This window comes from Homo sapiens, chromosome 16 (genome assembly GCF_000001405.40).
Source record: "Homo sapiens chromosome 16, GRCh38.p14 Primary Assembly".
Classification (NCBI taxonomy): Eukaryota; Metazoa; Chordata; class Mammalia; order Primates; family Hominidae; genus Homo; species Homo sapiens.
Window position 1 is genome coordinate 70,623,558 of NC_000016.10, and position 18,304 is coordinate 70,641,861.

The 18,304-nt window shown below is 44.4% G+C and overlaps 1 protein-coding gene across 9 annotated transcripts in view; it reads left to right on the forward strand.

The window, feature by feature from the left end:
• The window catches only part of IL34 (interleukin 34), an 80,784-nt gene that overhangs the window by 43,659 nt on the left and 18,821 nt on the right, over positions 1-18,304 (forward strand). Inside the window, exon 1 of one of the 9 annotated variants that reach the window (NM_001172772.2) lies at positions 435-572. The exons of the other annotated variants lie outside the window; for them this stretch is intronic. The gene's annotated coding sequence lies outside the window, so the exon portion shown is untranslated. Of the gene's footprint in view, positions 1-434; positions 573-18,304 lie in introns of those variants that run through there. 9 annotated transcript variants of the gene reach the window in all.

Below are 18,304 nucleotides of genomic sequence, written 5' to 3' on the forward strand. Positions count from 1 at the left end.
GGTGATAAGGTTTTAATGAGATGGTAAGGGGTGCATGATCAGTCGCCAAGGAGGGAGTAGAGGTATCTTATACTTGTGGGTTAAGGTGGGGGAATACAAGAGGAGGATGCAAAGGAGGCTTTGGATTGGGAAGAAGGGTGGCAATGAGATGTAGCTGTAGTCCAGGAATAGTCAGGGAAGCAGATAATTTAGTTAAAGTGTCTCGGCCTAATAAGGGAACTGGGCAGGTGGGGATAACTAAAAGGAGTGCTTAAAAGAGTATCATCTAAGTTGGCACCAGAGTTGGGGAGTTCTAAGAGGTTTAGAAGCCTGGCCGTCAATACTCACAACAGTTATGGAGGCAAGGGAAACAGGCCCTTGAAAAGAAGGTAATGTGGAGTGGGTAGCCTCCGTATTGATTAAGGCGACGGACTTACCTTCCACTGTGAGAGTTACTCGAAGCTCGGCGTCTGTGATGGTCTACGGGGCTTTCGAGGTGATCAGGCAGCGTCAGTCTTCAGCCGCTAAGCCGAGAAGGAGTCAGTCAGAGAGCCTTGGGCCAGAGTTCCAGGGGCTCTGGGAGTGGCTGCCAGGTGAGTTGAACAGTCCGATTTTCAGTGGGGTCCCACACAGATGGGACGCGGCTTAGGAGGAATCCCGGGCTGCCGGCATTCCTTGGCCCAGTGGCCAGATTTCCGGCACGTGTAGCAAGCTCCTGGGGAAGGAGGTTCTGGAGGAATACCTGGCTGCTGTGGTTCAGGCATTTGGAAGTTCTTGTGTGCTGGAGATGTGGCTGGGGTTTGTCTCACAGTGGAGGCAAGGAATTGCAACTTTTTTTCTGTTACTGTACACCTTGAAGGTGAGGTTAATTAAATCCTGTTGTGGGGTTTGAGGGCCAGATTCCAATTTTTGGAATTTTATTTAATGTCGGGAGCACATTGGGTAATAAAATGTATTTTGAGAATAAGATGGCCTTTTGACCTTTTAGGGTCTAGGGCTGTAAAGCGTCTCAAGGTTGCAGCCAAACAAGTCATGAACTGGGCTGGATTTTTATATTTGATGAAAAAGAGCCTAAACGCTATCTGATTTGGGATAAAGAAAAAGGAGCATTCACCTTGACTATGCCTTTAGCTTCAGCCACCTTTTTAAGAATAAATTGCTGGACAGGTGGGGAAGGGCTAGTCACTGAACGAAACTATAAGCCAGACAGGGTGTGAGGAGGGGAGGTGATAAAAGGATTATAGGGTGGAGGAGGGGAGGCTGAGGAAGAATTGGGACCTAGCTTGGCCTGGAGAGGAGGGGAGAGGTCAGATGGGTCTGTAGAAAAGGAAGATTAGAAAGACTCAGTGACGCTTGGGGTTGGGACTGAGGGGACAGGCGGGAGGGAAAGAAGGAAGATTTGGTACGAGTTGCATTGGGCACAGAGACTAGGAAGGGACTGATGTGTAAAAGAATGCCTGGACATCAGGCACCTCAGACCATTTGTCTATTTTACAGCAAGAATTATTTAGATTTTGCAGGATGGAAAAATTCAAAGTGCCATTTTTTGGCTATTTGGAACTACTGTTGAGTTTGTATTGGGGTCAAGCAGCATTGCAGAAGAAAATAAGGCGTTTAGGTTTTAGGTCAGGTGTGAGTTGAAGAGGTTTTAAGTTCGTGAGAAGTCAGGCTAAGGGAGAAGGAGGAATGGATGGTGGAAGGTTGCCCATAGTGAAGGAGGCAAACCCAGAGAAAAGAGAGCATAGAGATATGGAGGGAAGGGGTTCGGGGGTTCTTACCCTCCAGAAAAGTGGGAAGGGGGGTCGGGGCATGGAAATAAGGGATTGGGGCACAGAAATAAGAGGTTGGGGTGCGGAAATAAGGGATTGGGGGTTCTTGCCCCCTAGAAAAGCGGGACTTGCCGCTAAGGGCGAAGGAGAAGGGGTTGAGGGGTACTTGCCCCTTCCCCAGAAAAGCAGAGAAGGGGTAGAGAGGGAGAGAAGGAGTTGGGGAACTTGCCCCTCCCCCAGAAAAGCGGGACTTGCTGCTAAGGGTGAAGGACCAAGGCAGGCATCCCTGCGTGGTCTGACACCTTTGAAACGTGGGTGAATAATCAGAGAGGTGTCCCTGCAATGATTAAACACCAAGGGAAGGCTGCCTTCCCAGTCCGTGACAGGCGCTGGAGTTTTGGGTCCACCGATAAAACGTGTCTGCTTTGTCTCTCCCAGAAAATGAAAGGAATTGAAATTAAGAGAAGGGAGAGATTGAAGTGTGACGCCAAGATTGAAAGGAGAAAGAGGTTGAGGGATAGTGAGGGAGATTGGAAAAGAGAGTAAAAAGTGGCCACTTACCGGATTTGAAATTGGTGAGATGTTTCTTGGGCTTGTCTGTCTAAGGACCTGAGGTGGTAGGTGGATCTTTCTCACAGAGCAAAGAGCAGGAGGACAGGGGATTGATCTCCCAAGGGAGGTCCCCCGATCCGAGTCACGGCACCGAATTTCATGCGCGTCCATGAGAAGAGACCACCACACAGGCTTTGTGTGACCAACATGGCTGTTTATTTCACCTGGGTGCAGGTGGGCTGAGTCCAAAAAGAGAGTCAGCCTGTTTTGCTTATTTTTAAAATTACATTGTTGGCTTTTTCTTTTTTATTTCTATGAGCTGTTTACATATTAGTGAGATCAGTCTTTTGTGCCTTTGATATAAATTGCATTCAGTTTAGTGTGTCTCTTTTATTTTATTAATTTTTTGTTTTAGTATATACAAGTTTTTATTTCTATGGAGTCAAATTTATCAGTCTTTTATGGTTTCTGAATGTTTAATCATAGGTACCAAAACCTTCCCACTTTAAGAAAACACGATGTGTGTGGGTTTGTTTGTTTTTGTTTTTGTTTTTTTGAATCAGAGTTTTGCTTTTGTTGCCCAGGCTGGAATGGAATGGTGCAATCCTGGCTCACTGCAACCTCTGCCTCCCAGGTTCAAGTGATTGTCCTGCCTCAGCCTCCCGAGTAGCTGGGATTACAGGCATGCGCCACCACGCCCGGCTAATTTTGTATTTTTAGTGGAGATGGGGTTTCACCATGTTGATCAGGCTGGTCTGGAACTCCTGACCTCAGGTGATCTGCCCACCTCAGCCTCCCAAAGTGCTGGGATTCCAGGTGTGAGCCACCACACCCGGCCAAAAACATGATGTCTCCTATGTTTTCTTCTATTATTTTATATTCAAATTTTGATCCTTTTGGAATTTATCCTGATGTGTGCTTTGAGGAGTAGGTCTAATTTTATTTTTTCTTCCAGATGACTTTTTTCAGCTAAATTGAGAAGCTATTTTATCATAAGCCATTTATCATGAGCTCTTTTCTCTGTATGTATTTGAGTCTATTTCAGAACTTGCTACTCTTTTCCATTAGTTTCTCTTTCTGTTCATGTTCATTCAAGTTCCCACTGTTTTGTTTATTAAGGTTGATAATATTTAAAAATATATATGTTTCTTATAGAGACAGGGTCTCCCTATGTTGCCCAGGCTGGTCTTGAACTTCTGGACTCAGGGGATCCTTCCACCTCAGCCTCCCAAAGTGCTGGGATTACAGGCCTGAGCCACTAAGCCTGGCCCTAAAAAATATATTTTAATATATGAAAGGGATGTTCTTCCCCTTATATGTTGAGCTCTTTCAGGCTATTCTTGCTCATTTTTTTCCATTTGAACTTTAACATCTAATATCTAATTACACAAACACACAGGAAAGCTGAAGTATAACACACATATAGCAAAGTAAATAAATTGGAAGTATACAGCTTGATGAGCTATCACAAAGTGAACACACCCTTGCAACTATTACCAGCGTGTAGAAGCCCCCCACCAGATCCCCAAACACTCACTATCCCTCCCTCCCTCCAAAGGTGCATCCCTCCTCTCCCCTCCCCCTCCGCTCCCCTCCCCCTCCTCCCCCTTCCCTCCCCTCTTCTTTTTCTTTCTCTTTCTTTGAGACAGGCTTTCTCTCTGTTACCCAGGCTAGAGCACAGTGGTGCTATCTAGGCTCACTGCAGCCTCTGTCTCCTGGACTCAAGCAGTCCTCCCAAGTAGCTGGGACTACAGGCACAAGCCACCATACCTGGCTAATCTTTTTATTTTTTTGTAGAGATGGGATCTCACTATGTTGTCCAAGCTGGTCTCGAGCTCCAGGGCTCAAGAGATCTGCCTACTTCAGATCCCAAAGTGGTGGGGTTGCAGGTGTGAGCCAGTGTGCCTGGCCCTTATTTCTTGTCACAGATTGGTTTTGCTGTGTTTTTTTAAAAAACTTTAAACACGTGTATTCTTTTGTATCTGGTTTCTTTTGCTCAACATTTTATTTGTGAGGTTTATTTATCCACATGCCATGAATATTGTAACACATGGCTTTTGGTGCCCATGTATACAGATTTCTGTTGGATATTTACTTACGAAAGAAATTGCTAAGCTGTGGGATATGCACACGTTCAATTTCAGAAAATACTGCCAAACTGTTCTCCAAGTAGATATGTGACAATTTACCTTCCTTCCAGAAATGTCTGAGAATTCCAATTATTCTACATTGTTGCAACACTTGGATTTTTTTGGTCTTTTTAATTTTATTCACTCTAGGGTGTGTGTGTAGTGGTAATTAATTGTGGTCGAGCACCTTATTATATATTTATTGGCCATTTAAATATACTGTCTTGTGAAATGCATTGGGATTGCTTTAAATTTATACATTAACTTCAGAGAATTGGACCTACTTATGATGTTAAATCTTCCCATCCAAGAACACAGTATATCTTTTTCCATTTGTTTAACTCTTCTGTGTCCTTTAGCATTGTTTACAGTTTTTTAGTATATATCTTGCACATTTCTTGATAAGTTTATTTCTAGGTATTTTACATTTTTTGTTGTTATGTAAGTGGTCTCTTTTCTAACTGGCTAGTGTGTGGGTTTGTTTTTATTTATTTATTTATTTATTTATTTTTTTTTTTGAGACAGAGTCTTGCTCTGTTGCCCAGGCTGGAATGCAATGGTATGATCTTGGCTCACTGCAATCTCCGGCTCGCGGGTTCAAGCGATTCTCCTACCTCAGCCTCCCAAGCAGCTGGGATTACAGGCACCCGCCACCATGCCTGGCTAATTTTTGTATTTTTAGTAGAGATGGGGTCTCACCATGTTGACCAAGCTGGTCTTGAACTCCTGACCTTAATTGATCCACCCGCCTTGGCCTCCCAAAGTCCTGGGATTACAGGCATGAGCCATCACACCTGGTCTTTTTTTTTTTTTTTTTTTTGAGACAGGGTCTTACTGTATGCCCAGGCTGAAGTGCAGTGGCTCAATCACAGCTCACTATAGCTTCGAACTCCTGGGTTCAAATGATCCTTCCACCTCGGCCTCCCGAGGAGCTGGGACAGCAAGCATGTACCATTGTGTCCAACTAACTTTTGTATTTTTAATGTATAGACAGGGTCTTGGTATGTTGCCCAGGCTGGTCTCAAACTCCTGGCCTCAAGTGATCCTCCCAAAGCACTGAGATTATAGGCATGAGTCACTGTACCTGGCCCCTGGCTATTGTTTATAGTAGTTTGTTGATTCTCTTGGATGTTCTAGATTTATAATCATCTCATGTACAAGTGGAAATAACTTCACCTCCTCCTATTTAACTCTTGTATCTCTAATTTTGTTTGCTGATGTAATTGCATTGGCTATTACCTTCTGTGTAATGGTAGTGAGCATACTTGTATTGCTTCTTTCTTTAGTGGGAATGCCTCTAGTGATTCTAAGTTATGCAAAATGCTGGCCTTTATCTGAGGTTGAGGTATTTTATCATGTTAGGTAATTATCCATCAATTCCTTCTTTTCCTGATTTTTATCTAACATTTACAGATCTCCAGAACCTACTACAGTTGTCCTTTTGTATACTTGCGGAACCGGTTCCAGAACCCCCCAAAGATACCAAAATCCATGGACGCTCAGGTCCCTTATGTAAAATGGCATAGTATTTGCATATAACCTACTTACACCCTCCTGTGTAATTAAAATTATCTCTAAATTACTTATAATAACGAATACAATGTAGATACTGTATAAATAGTTGTTATACTATATTGTTTGGGGAGTAATGACAAGAAAAATGTCTGTACATGTTCAGTACAGAAACAATCATTGTAGACCTCACTACATTTTTTTCTTTTTTTTTTTAATTTGAAATGTTTGTGCGTACATAGTAGATATATATATTTATGGGGTACATGAGATATTTTGATACGGGAATTCAATGCTTAATAATCACATGAGTGTACATGGGGTCTCCATTTTCTCAAGCATTTTTATCTTTTGTGTTATGATTCAGTTATACTGTTTCAGTAATTAAAAAATGTACAATTACATTATTGACTCTAGTCACCCTGTTGTGTTATCAAATACTAGCTCTTATTCATTCTGTCTATGTTTTTGTACCAACCAACCATCATTTCCACTTCCTCCCACCCAGCAACAATTCTTCCAGCCTCTGGTAACTGTCCTTCTACTCTCTATCTCCATGAGTTTGTTTTAATTTTTAGCACCCACATACAAGTGAAAATATGTAATGTTTATCTTTCTGTGCCTGGCTTATTTCACTTAACATAATGATGAACTCATGTGGTTACAAATGACAGGATCTCATTCTTTTAATGGCTGAATAGTACTCCATTCTGTATATGTTCTACATTTTCTTTCCTTCTTTCTTTTTAATTTTTTTTGGAGATGGAGTCTCTCTGTCGCACAGGCTGGAATGCACTGACGTGATCTCTGCTTATTGCAACATTTGCCTCCCCAGCGATTCTCCTGCCTCAACCTCCCGAGTAGCTGGGATTACAGGTGTGCACCACCATGCCTGGCTAAGTTTTGTATTTTTAGTAGAGACGAGGTTTCACCATGTTGGGCAGGCTGGTCTCGAATTCCTGACCTCAGGTGATCTGCCAGCGTCGGCCTCCCAAAGTGCTGGGATTACAGGAATGAACCACTGCGCCTGGCCCCTCCCTTCCCCTCCTCTCCCCTCCCCTCTCCTCTCCTCTTCTTTCTTTTTTCTTTTTTTTTTCTGAGGTAGGGTCTCATTCTGTCACCCAGGCATGATCAGTGCAATCATGGCTCACTGCAACCTCAGTCTCCCAGGCTCAATTGATCCTCCTACCTCAGCTTCCCAAGTAGCTGTGACTACAGGCACACCACCATGCCTGGCTAATTTTTATATTTTTTTGTAGAGACGGGGTTTCGCCATGTTGCCCAGGCTGGCCTCAAACTCCTGGGTTCAAGTGATCCTCTGGTCTCAGTTTTCCAAAGTGTTGAGATTATAGGAGTGAGCCACCAAGCTCGGGTCACATTTTCTTTATTCATCTGCTGATGGGCACTCAGTTTGCTTCCAAATCTTGGCTATTGTGAATAGTGCTGCAATAAACATGGGAGTGCCGATATGTCTTCAATATACTGATTTCCTTTCTTTTGGGTATATACCTGGCAGTGAAGTTGCTGGATCATATGGTAGCCTAAACTACATTTTCAATTTGTGGTTGGTTGAAACTGAAGATGCAAAATCCATGGACGCAGAAGACTGACTGTGTTATGTTATATTAAGAAGTTTCCTTATATTGAACCATCCTTGCACTCTTGGAATAAAGTCTCTTTGGTTTTTCCAGTGTCTTGTGCCCCCAGCTGGAGAAGCTCCTTTGACTGAGCCAATAGCTACTGTGGACTGTTGTGGACATGGTCTGTGGACATGGACAGGGCCAGTACCCATAGGCCTAAGTCTCCTTTCCTGCAGTAAATTATTGGTTTGATTCTCTTCGAGAAACCCAGCTCAAAGTCCTTTCTGTTGTCAGGGAGAATAGAAATTGGGTTTTCCCATGGAGTTAGAAAAAACTACAGTCTTTTCCAATTTATTCTTGTTTTTATTAACTTTTAAAACAAAACAAAACATATTAAATGTTTTTTTAATATGTTAAAAACAAAACCAAAGAATCTTTATCCTGTTATACTCAGCTTTGTTTATATAATGTTTTGGAGGATGTCCCAATGACCTTTTAGAGTCTCTGGGCTGTTATAAAACTAAACTTGGGACTCACTTCCCTAGTTTTTCTCAAGAAGAGTGGAAAAATAAAAAAGTTAAAATAGTTTTGGCCAGTAACAAAGAAAAACCTTTAGGTTCTTGGTCACTGGAGAATATGGTACTTAATCCCTAGAAGCAGGTATACACTGGGCGGGATAGCCCAGTGGTTAAGACGGTCCCTGCTGTGCAGCTTACTGTTGTGTGTAACCTCAGACAAGTTACCTCATCCCTCTGGTCCTTCATTTCCTCATCAGTAAGAGAAGATAATAATATTGATCCCAGGAGTTCAAGACCAGCCTGGGTACCATGGCAAAACCCTGTCTCTACAAAAAAAAAATTATAATACAAAAAATTAGCTGAGTGTGCTGTTGTGTACCTGTAATCCCAGCTACTTGGGAGGCTGAGGTAGGAGGATTACCTGAGCCTGGGGAGGTCAAGGCTGCAGTGAGTGGAGATCGTGCCACTGCACTTCAGCCTGGGTGATAGAGTGAGACCCTGTCTCAAAAAAAAAAAAAAAAAAGAGAAGATAATAGTTCCCAACTCCAGCCTTGTTGGGAGGCAATTAGTTAATGCTTGAAAGTTCCTTGGGACATGGTAAGCACCAGTGAATATGGAGGAGCCTGTGGGGATGAGATCATGCTGTAGGGATTGGGCCAGGTGGTCTTAGCATTCAGCGGCCATTTCTGACCTTCGCTGACCCTAATCCTCATGCAGATATCTGCAGGGTGTGCTTAGACAAATGACGGGCCTGTTCTCAAGGTCTAGGCTTCTACCATGAAGCAAAATAATGAAGTTAAAAACAAAATCTCCTTTTGTAGGTGTTTAGCCTATAGGAACCAAAGGAATGGAGCTGAAGATTCCTTCAGGTGGGCATTTTGGGGAACACATCTGTGAATGAATGGGAAGAGGAGCTGGGCCAATGCTTTCGGCTCCTGACCAGGTGGTCCTGAGGGCTTAAACTCCAAGGAAGGGAGTGCTCTTATAAGCGGGCCAGTGGCTTTCCAATGGAGCATCTGCAAAGTGGGTCTCTGGGGTGGTGCTGCACAGAGACCATGTGGTGTTTGTGTTTGAGAGAGTGAAGGGGGTATTTTTGCTGTGGGCAGAAGGGACAGTTTTTTTGTGACAGATGAGCAAGAAGGGAGAGCTATGGGGAGGGATCTGTCTGATCAGTGGCCAAGTACTGCCTCTCAAGGTGAATTCAGAGTAGCATTGGGCTGGCCTTCTTTTGGGGGTTTTGTCTTATTTGATGAAGCACGAGCCAGGTTGGAGCCTTTGTCACCAGCTTGCTGTTTCCAACCAGCAATTTTCTATTGTTAAAATTGGAGTATAACTTACTTAAAATAAAATTCTTACTTAAAATGTGTCTTATCAGGACATATTTTTTTTTGAAACAGCGTCTCTGTCACCCATGCTGGGGTGCAGAGGCACAACCATGGCTCACTGCAGCCTCGACCTCCTGGGCTCAAGTGATCCTCCCACCTTAGCCTCCTTAGCAGCTGAGACCACAGGTGCATGCCACCATGCCTGGCTAATTTTTGTATTTTTAGTAGAGACAGGGTTTCGCCATGTTGCCCAGGCATGTCTCAAACTCCTGAGCTCAAGTGATCTGTCCTCCTTGGCTTCCCAAAGTGCTGGGATTACAAGTGCCCAGACTGATTTTTTTTTTTCTTTTAAGACAGGGTCTCACTCTGTTGCTCATGCTGGAGTGCAGTGACAGGATCATGGCTCACTGCAGCTTTGACCTCCCAGGCTAAAGCGATCCACCTGCCTCAGCCTCCTGAGTAGCTGGGACCACAGGTGAGCACCACCATGCCTGGCTAATTAAAAAAAATTATTATTTTTTTCTCTAGAGACGTGGTCTCCCTATGTTGCCCAGTCTGGTTTCAAACTTCAGACCTCAAATGATCCTCCAACCTCGGCCTCCCAAAGTGCTGGGATTCCAGGTGTGAACCATTGTGCCTGGCCAAAATACACAATCTTAAATGTTCAGGTGGGTGGTATAGTAGTTTCCCAGAGCTTCTGTAAGAAAGTACCATAATTGGTGGCTTAAAGCAACAGAAATGTATTCTGTCAAAGATCTGGAGGCTAGAAATCCAAGATCAAGGTGTTGGCAAGCCCATGATCTCTGTGAAGGCTTGAGGGGAGGATCTTTTCCTGTCTCTTCCCAGGTTCTGGTGTACAATTCCTGGTGCTGTGTGGCCTGTGGACCTCACTGCAGTTTCTCAATCATCACGTGGTCTTCTCCCTGAGTCTCTCTCTTTTTTTTTTTGAGACAGAGTCTCGCATTGTCGCCCAGGCTGGAGTGCGGTGGCGTGATCTTGGCTCACTGCAACCTCCGCCTCCTGGGTTCAAGCGATTCTGCTGCCTCAGCCTCCGGAGTAGCTGGAATTACAGGCGTGCACCACCACGCCCAGCTAATTTTTGTATTTTTAGTAGAGACGGGGTTTCACCATGTTGGCCAGGCTAGTCTCAAACACCTGACCTCAAGTGATCTGCCCGCCTCGGCCTCCCAAAATGCTGGGATTACAGGTGTGAGCCACCGTGCCCTGCAATCTCTCTCTTCTTATCAGGACACCAGTCATTGTATTGGGCCTACTAATCTGGTATGACCTCACTCTAATTTGACTAATGATGTATGCAAATACTCTGTTTCCAAACAAGGTCATATTCTGAGATTCCAGGTAAGATATGAACTGGGGGCAGGCAGCACTGTTCAACCCAGTACAGATATGTTTTATTGACAATTATATATACCCATGTGACCACCACTCTAACAAAGAAGAGATAGAACATTTCCAGGCTGGGCGCAGTGGCTCATGCCTGTAATCCCAGCACTTTGCGAGGCCAAGGCAGGCTGATCACCTGAGGTCAGGAGTTCGAGACCAGCCTGACCAACAAGGTGAAACCCCATCTCTACTAAAAATACAAAAATTAGCTGGGTGTGGTGGCACGTGCCTATAATCCCAGGTACTCAGGAGGCTGAGGCAGGAGAATTCCTTGAACCCAGGAGGCGGAGGTTGCAGTGAGCCGAGATCGTGTCACTGAACTCCAGCCTGGGCGACAGAGCGAGATTCCGAATCAAAAAAAAAAAAAAAAATTTCCAAAGTTCCCTAATGCCCCTTTCCAGTCAGATCCTTACCACCACCAGCCACCTGGGATAGCCACAGTTCTGATACCTATCACCATAGATTAGTTTATTGGCCTGTTCTTGCATTCAAATAGCTGGAATTATGTAGTGTGCACGCTTTTGTGTCTGGTTGCTTTTGCTCAAAATAATGTTTTTGAGATTCATCCATGTTGCTGCACAGATCAGCAGTTCCTTTTAATTTCAGAGTAATATTCCACTGTCTGATTATGGCACAGTTCATACGTCCAGTCTTCTGTTGGCAGATATTTGGATGGTTTTCAGTTTTAGAAGTGCCTATGATTCATAGTATGAATACAGCAGCAATAGGCATTCTTGGTCATTCGTCTTATGGCCATAGAGTTTGATTTTTCTAGGTTAAATTCTAGGAGTGGGATTGCTGGGTCAGAGTCTAGGTATGTGTTTAACTTTGTTAGAATCGCCAGTCTTCCAAAATGACAATCCCAGCTTATACTCTCAAGGGTAACGTGGAGGGCCCCATTACCATGCATCCTGAGAACTCAAACAGTGATTTTCTTGGCGACAGATATTTTCTTTGCTCCATAGAGGGGATAACCCCTCTGCAGAGGTTTCCATCACAGAGCTGTCAAGCTAAACACCCTCCAGCTGCTGCAGCCTACCCTGCTAGTTTTTGCTTTGTTTTCTTTTGTCTCCTGCTGCTCTCAGGAAGCACAAAGGCCTGTTGGAGGCCCTTTGTCTACTGTCCCAGTACCAGTGTGGATGCTCCACAGTCTGTTCTTGTGCTCTTGAGTCCCCTTGCTAGTCACAGGTCAGAGGTTGGAGGTCAGAGGTCAGAGGTCGGAAGCTGGAGTCCTTCAGCAGAACATCGGCAGCTTCCTTGAGCAGGAGCTGTTTCCAGTGTTCAAGGGTCCCATTGACTGGTCCCACGCTGGGTTTCTTTCTTGCCTTCTTTCACAATCAAGTAAGTATTTTGCTCACAGACCTCTATTGATAGTGCAAAAACAACAGCAAAAGGGGAAATGATTCAAATATAAAAGAAAAAGCCTACGTTTTTCCAAAACCCATTTTTTTACTATTAGTAATACGAGTGAGTAATTATAACAATAGCAAATACCAAGATAGCATGTACTGTATGCCAGCTCATGTTCTAAGTTTTCTGTATATAGAAATCCAGTAAATCCTTACATAGCCCTTTGAGGTCAGAATCTCATATCAAGCCCATTTTACAGATGGGGAGGCTGAGGCAAAAGAGGATCCTCACCTTGCCCAAGGCAAGGTGGAGTCAGAGTTTGAACCCAAAAGGTGTAGCTTCAGGGTCTGTATCTTTTTTTTTTTTTTTTAATTTTTATTTTTGAGACAGTCTCGCTCTGTTGCCCAGGTTGGAGTGCAGTGGCATGATCTCAACTCAATGTAGCCTTCACCTCCCAGGTTCAAGTAATTCTCTTGCCTCAGCCTCCTGAGTAGCTGGGATTACAGGTGTGTGCCACCACGCCCAGCTAATTTTTGTGTTCTTAGTAGAGACAGAGTTTCTCCATATTGAGGCTGGTGTCAAACACCTGGCCTCAAGTGATCCCCCTGCCTCAGCCTCCCAAAGTGCTGGGATTACAGGTGTGAGCCACTGTGCCAGGCCCAGGGTCTGTATTTTATACCTGCATGTTTTCCTTTGGTTCATTTACAGTCTAGAAACTTAACCACATTTATTTAAAAAGGAAACTTTGTATCACTAGCATAAATGGAAGATCCACATTGCTTGACATAGATAGTAACTGTAAAAAATGAATACTCTGACATAGTGTCGTGGCTCATGCCTACAATCCCAGCACTTGGGGAGGCTGAGACCAGGAGCTTGAGACCAGCCTGGACAACATAGCAAACCCTGTCACACACACACACACACACACACACACACACACACACACACACAAAATTAGCTGGGCATGATTGAGTGTACCTGTGGTCCTAGCAGTGTGGGAGGATGCCTTGAGCCCAGGAGTTCGAGGCTGCAGTGAGCCTGATTGTGCCACTGCACTCCAGCCTTGGCAACAGAGAGAAACCCTGTCTCAAACAAACAAAACAAAACAAAACAAAAAACAAAACAAAACAGAATGAAGAAGAATACTCTAATATAACAACATAACATGATTCTAAATAGCACCTATTGCCCCTTCCCTATTTTATTTTATTTTTTTTTTGAGACGGGGTTTCGTTCTGTCGCCCAGGTTGGAGTACAGTGGCGTAATCTCGGCTCACTGCAAGTTCCGCCTCCCAGGTTCATGCCATTCTCCTGCCTCAGCCTCCCCAGTAGCTGGGACTACAGGCTAATTTTTTGTATTTTTAGTAGAGACGGGGTTTTACTGTGTTAGCCAGGATGGTCTCGATCTCCTGACCTCGTGATCTGCCTGCCTCGGCCTCTCAAAGTGCTGGGATTACAGGTGTGAGCTGCCGTGCCTGGCCGCCCCTTCCCCATTTTTAATTTTTTCAGTTTATTTTTTCTTTTTGCCTCTAGCTTTGCATGGATGATCCTTCCCCATTTTTTAAAGCAGTTTGTGCTTTTGGTGTCATATATAAGAATCAAATCAAAGTTACCAAGATTTTGTCCTAGAAGTTTTAGGTTTTACAATTAATTCTATGGTCCATGTCAAGTTAATTTCTTTTTATTATTTATTTTTTGAGATGATTTTCTTGTTTCCCAGGCTGGAATGGTGTGATCTCAGCTCACTGCAACCTCTGCCTCTCGGGTTCAAGTAATTCTCCTGCCTCAGCCTCCCCAGCTGGGATTACAGGCATACACCATCAGGCCCGGCTAATTTTATATTTTAGTAGAGACGGGGTTTTACCATGTTGGCCAGGCAGGTCTCAAACTCCTGACCTCAGATGATCTGCCCCCCCTCGACCTCCCAAAATGCTGGGATCACAGGTGTGAGCCACCGCGCCTGGCCAAGTTAATTTCTATATGTGGTATGAGATAAGGGTTGAGTTTAATTTTTTATATACATATATAAGGATGTCAGATAGTTTCCCCAGTGTTGATTGAAGAGACTTCTTTCCTCTGTCTTCTTTGAATCTGACTTTTTTCAGAGACTGGGAGGTTTGATTCTCATAGTTGCTGCAAGGATAAAAAGGTATAATTATTTTGCTATGCTCTATTTAAAGCAATCGGCACATGGTCAGCACTCAGTATATACCAGTTCTCAGATTTTGCTAACTGCTTTTCTGTGGTTTGACATTTAGGTGGTTTCCAGGTTTTTTTGTTTTGTTTTGTTTTGTTTTTTGCTTCAAGTGTAAACAGCAGTGCAATGGATATCCCAGGCATTCAGCTTTGTTGTCTTCTTTAAAATTATTTTAGAGTATATTTCTGGGTCTTTCTCCATACTACAAATCAGTGTAAAAAGTGGACCCATGCACTCTGCCAGAAGCCATGGGCTGCTTTTGAATTAGCCCTGCTTCCAACCAGAGGGAGCTCTCTGGGAGGTTTAAAAACTGGAATCAGACTGGGCGCGATGGCTCATGCCTGTAACCCCAGCACTTTGGGAGGCCAAGGTAGGAGGACCACTTGAGCCTGGGAGTTCAAGACCAGCCTGGGCAACTTAGCAAGACCTTGTCTCTACAAAAGAACTGTAAAACTTAGCTAGGCATGGTGGTGCACACCTATAGTCCCAGCAACTTGGGAGACCGAGGCAGAAGGATCTTGAGCCCAGGAGTTTGAGGCAACAGAGTGAAGATCCTATCAAAAAAAAAAATAAAGAAAAAAGAAAAAAAGAAAAGAACTGGAGTCATCCCCTTCCCTGGGGAAACTTTCCTGCCTTCTGACCCCCCCACTCTCTCTCTGGTCCCCTGGTTGGTGGCTTCTTATCCTCCCAATATCTGCATATGCTTTCCCATGATATTTTATACTTATTTATTATTTTTTTGAGACAAGGCCTTTCTCTGTCACCCGGGCTGGTCTTTCTGTGTCAGCCACGGCTCACTGCAGCTTGGACCTCCCGGGGTCAAGCCTCTTGAGTACCTGGGACTGTGGGTATGCCACCACATCTAGCTAATTAAAAAAAAATTATTTGTAGAGATTAGGTCTCTCTATGTTGCCCAGGCTGGTCTCATACTCCTGGGCTCAAGCGATCCTCTTGCCTCAGCCTCCGAAAATGCTGGAATTACAGGTGTGTGCCACCGCACCAGCCCAGTTTGTTTGTTTTTAAACAAATAAACTGGTTTAAGTAAAAAAAGTGAGTGAATGCAGGGAAATCTATCTCCATGTAGGTAGATCTGGTTCAGGGGTGTTGTGGTAGACACCTGGCTCTTAGTTAGGAAATGCTGACTAAGGCGTTGCCCTGTTTTGGTGATTCTGTGGCTTGTAAAGCTGGCATGGATTTTCATGTTTTATTTCACCTGAGAACACTCCAGCTTGGGAGATGCCCTTGGGATATGGTGTGGCACTGAGCTTTCCAGATGTGGTGACATTGATCACAGATAGGTGGCACCCACCAGAAATGTACAGCCCGGATCCAGGAGTGTATTTGATCAAATTCATTCAGATGTCTTTGGGTCATAATGGGAAAATGCACGTCCAGAACCCAGCCAATCTTGTTTGAGAAGCAGGCATTTGAAAACAAATTACACGGGCCTGGAGACTGTCTGATTTCAGGCAGAGGCCAGAAATAGGAGGAAAGCACAATATTGCGTTTATATCAGACATCTTGGCAAAGCTGTTGATCTGCTACTGCCTCTGCTTGCCTCATGGGGAAACGCTTGATCAGAAAGCGAGATGATGAATTAGAATATCACAATTAGCAGCCCTCAGTGAATTAATGGATCTAGGCATTAAGTGGCATTGCCTGCCAACATCAGCAAAGAGTGGAGTGCAGTTGTCACGTGCCTTCTGTTGAAAGAACACAGCACCGCTTGTATCGTGACGAAGGGCTTGAGCTTGACCCTGTTCCCACTGCAAACATGCAGAAAGACAAGACAGAGGAGTCCAGGCGTGGTGACTCACGCCTCTAATCCCAGCACTTAGGGAGGCCGGGGTCGAGGATTGCTTGAGCCCAGGAGTTTGAGAGCAGCTTGAGCAACATAGTGAGACCCTGTCTCTACAAAAACTAAAAATAAAAATTAGCCAGGTGTGGTGGTGCATGCCTGTAGTCCGAGCTACTCAGGAGGCTAAGGTGAGAGGATCACTTGAGCCCAAGAGGTAGAGGCTTCAGTGACCTGTGATTACGCCTCTGCACTCCAGCCTGGGTGACAAAGGGAGACCCTGTCTCCGAAAAAAAAAGACAGAGGAACATGTTGAAGTGGACCATGGATCTGCAATCAGGAAACTCTAGGCTGTAGACCAGGGACACTTTTTAAAAGAAAAACTTTAGAAAGAATAAATTTAATAGTTTACTATCATGATCAAGTATTAGGTACTGTACATAATTGTATGTGCTAGACTTTTTGTTTTGTTTTCTTTTGTTTTGCTTTGAGACAGGGTCTCACTCTATCACCCAGGCTGGAGTGCAGTGGTGCCATCGTGGCTCACTGCAGCCTTGGCCTCCTGGGCTCAAGCAATCATCCTGCCTTAGCCTTCTGAGTACCTGGGACTACAGGTGCACACCACCATGCCCGGCTAATTTTGTATTTTTTATTTTTGTAGGGACAGCCTCTTGCTATATTACCTTGTGTCAACTGTAATCACAGCACTTTGGGAGGCCGAGGTGGGTGGATCACATGAGGCCAGGAGATCAAGAGCAGCCTGGCCAACAAGATGAAACCCTGTCTCTACTAAAAATACAAAAGTTAGCCGGGTGTGGTGGTGCATGCCTGTAATCCCAGCTACTTGGGACGCTGAGGCAGGAGAATCTCTTGAACCCGGGAGGTGGAGGTTGTAGTGAGCCGAGATCTTGCCACTGCACTCCAGCCAGGGCGACAGAGCAAGACTCCGTCTCAATAAAAAAAAAAAAAAAAGTTAGTTTTTAAATATATATATTTCAATCAATTAAAGTTATTTTTAAGTCAGGCCTTTTGCAGTATAGTTGATGTATGGTAAAGCTCATCCTCTTTAAGCATACGGTTGGATAAATTTCAACAAATAATATACCAACGCTTCATTCAGGGTTTAAAGCATTTCCTTCACCTCCCAAAATTCCCCTGCGCCCCTTCTCAGTCAATCCCCTTCCCCACTCCCCATTTTGGGATGTCACCGATATAATTTCTGTCCCTGGAGTTTTGCTTTTTCCAGAAAAGGCTGAATGTACATACAGGGTATATAGGTATATACTCCTAGGTATATACTCAAGAGAATTGAAAGTGTTGCCTGGGCGTGGTGGCTCACACCTGTAATCCCAGCACGTTGGGAGGCCGAGGCAGGCAGATCACTTGAGGTCAGAAATTTGAGACCAGCCTGGCCAACATGGTGAAATCCTGTCTCTACTAAACATACAAAAAAATCAGCCGGAAGTGGTGGTGCACGCCTGTAATCATAGCTGCTTGGGAGGCTAAGCAGGGGAATCACTTGGACCTGGGAGGCAGAGGTTGCAGTGAGCTGAGATCACACCACTGCACTCCAGCTTGGGCAACAGAGCGAGACTTCATCTCAAAACAACAACAAGAAAATGTTATGCCTACACAAAAACTTGCACATGGATTTTCATAGCCATATTATTCATAATGGCCAAAAGGTGGAAACAGCCCAAAAGTTCACCAACCAAGGGCACTGTATACTTAAAGAAGGTGAGCTTCACTGTCCATCAATTACACCTCAATAAGCCTGACTTTAAAGTAACTTCAATGGATTGAAATACATAAATTAAAAAAATTCTTTCCCTCCCTCTCTCCCTCCCTCCCTTCCTCCCTCCCTCCCTTCCTTCCTTCCTTCCTGCCTTTCTTTCTTTTTTTTTTTACTTTTTGAGATGGAATCTCACTCTGTTGCCAAGGCTGGAGTGCAGTGGCATGATCATGGCCTGTTGCTGCCTCCACCTCCCCAGATTCAAGTGATCTTCCCACCTTAGCCTCCCTAGCAGCTGGGAGTACAGGTGCATGCCTCCTTGTCCGGCTAATTTTTGTATTTTTTGTAGAGACAGGGTTTTGCTGTGTTGCCCAGGCTGGTCTTGAACTCCTGGGCTCAAGCAATCCACCCCCCCGCAACCTCCCAAAGTGTTGGAATTATAGGCATGAGCCACTGCGC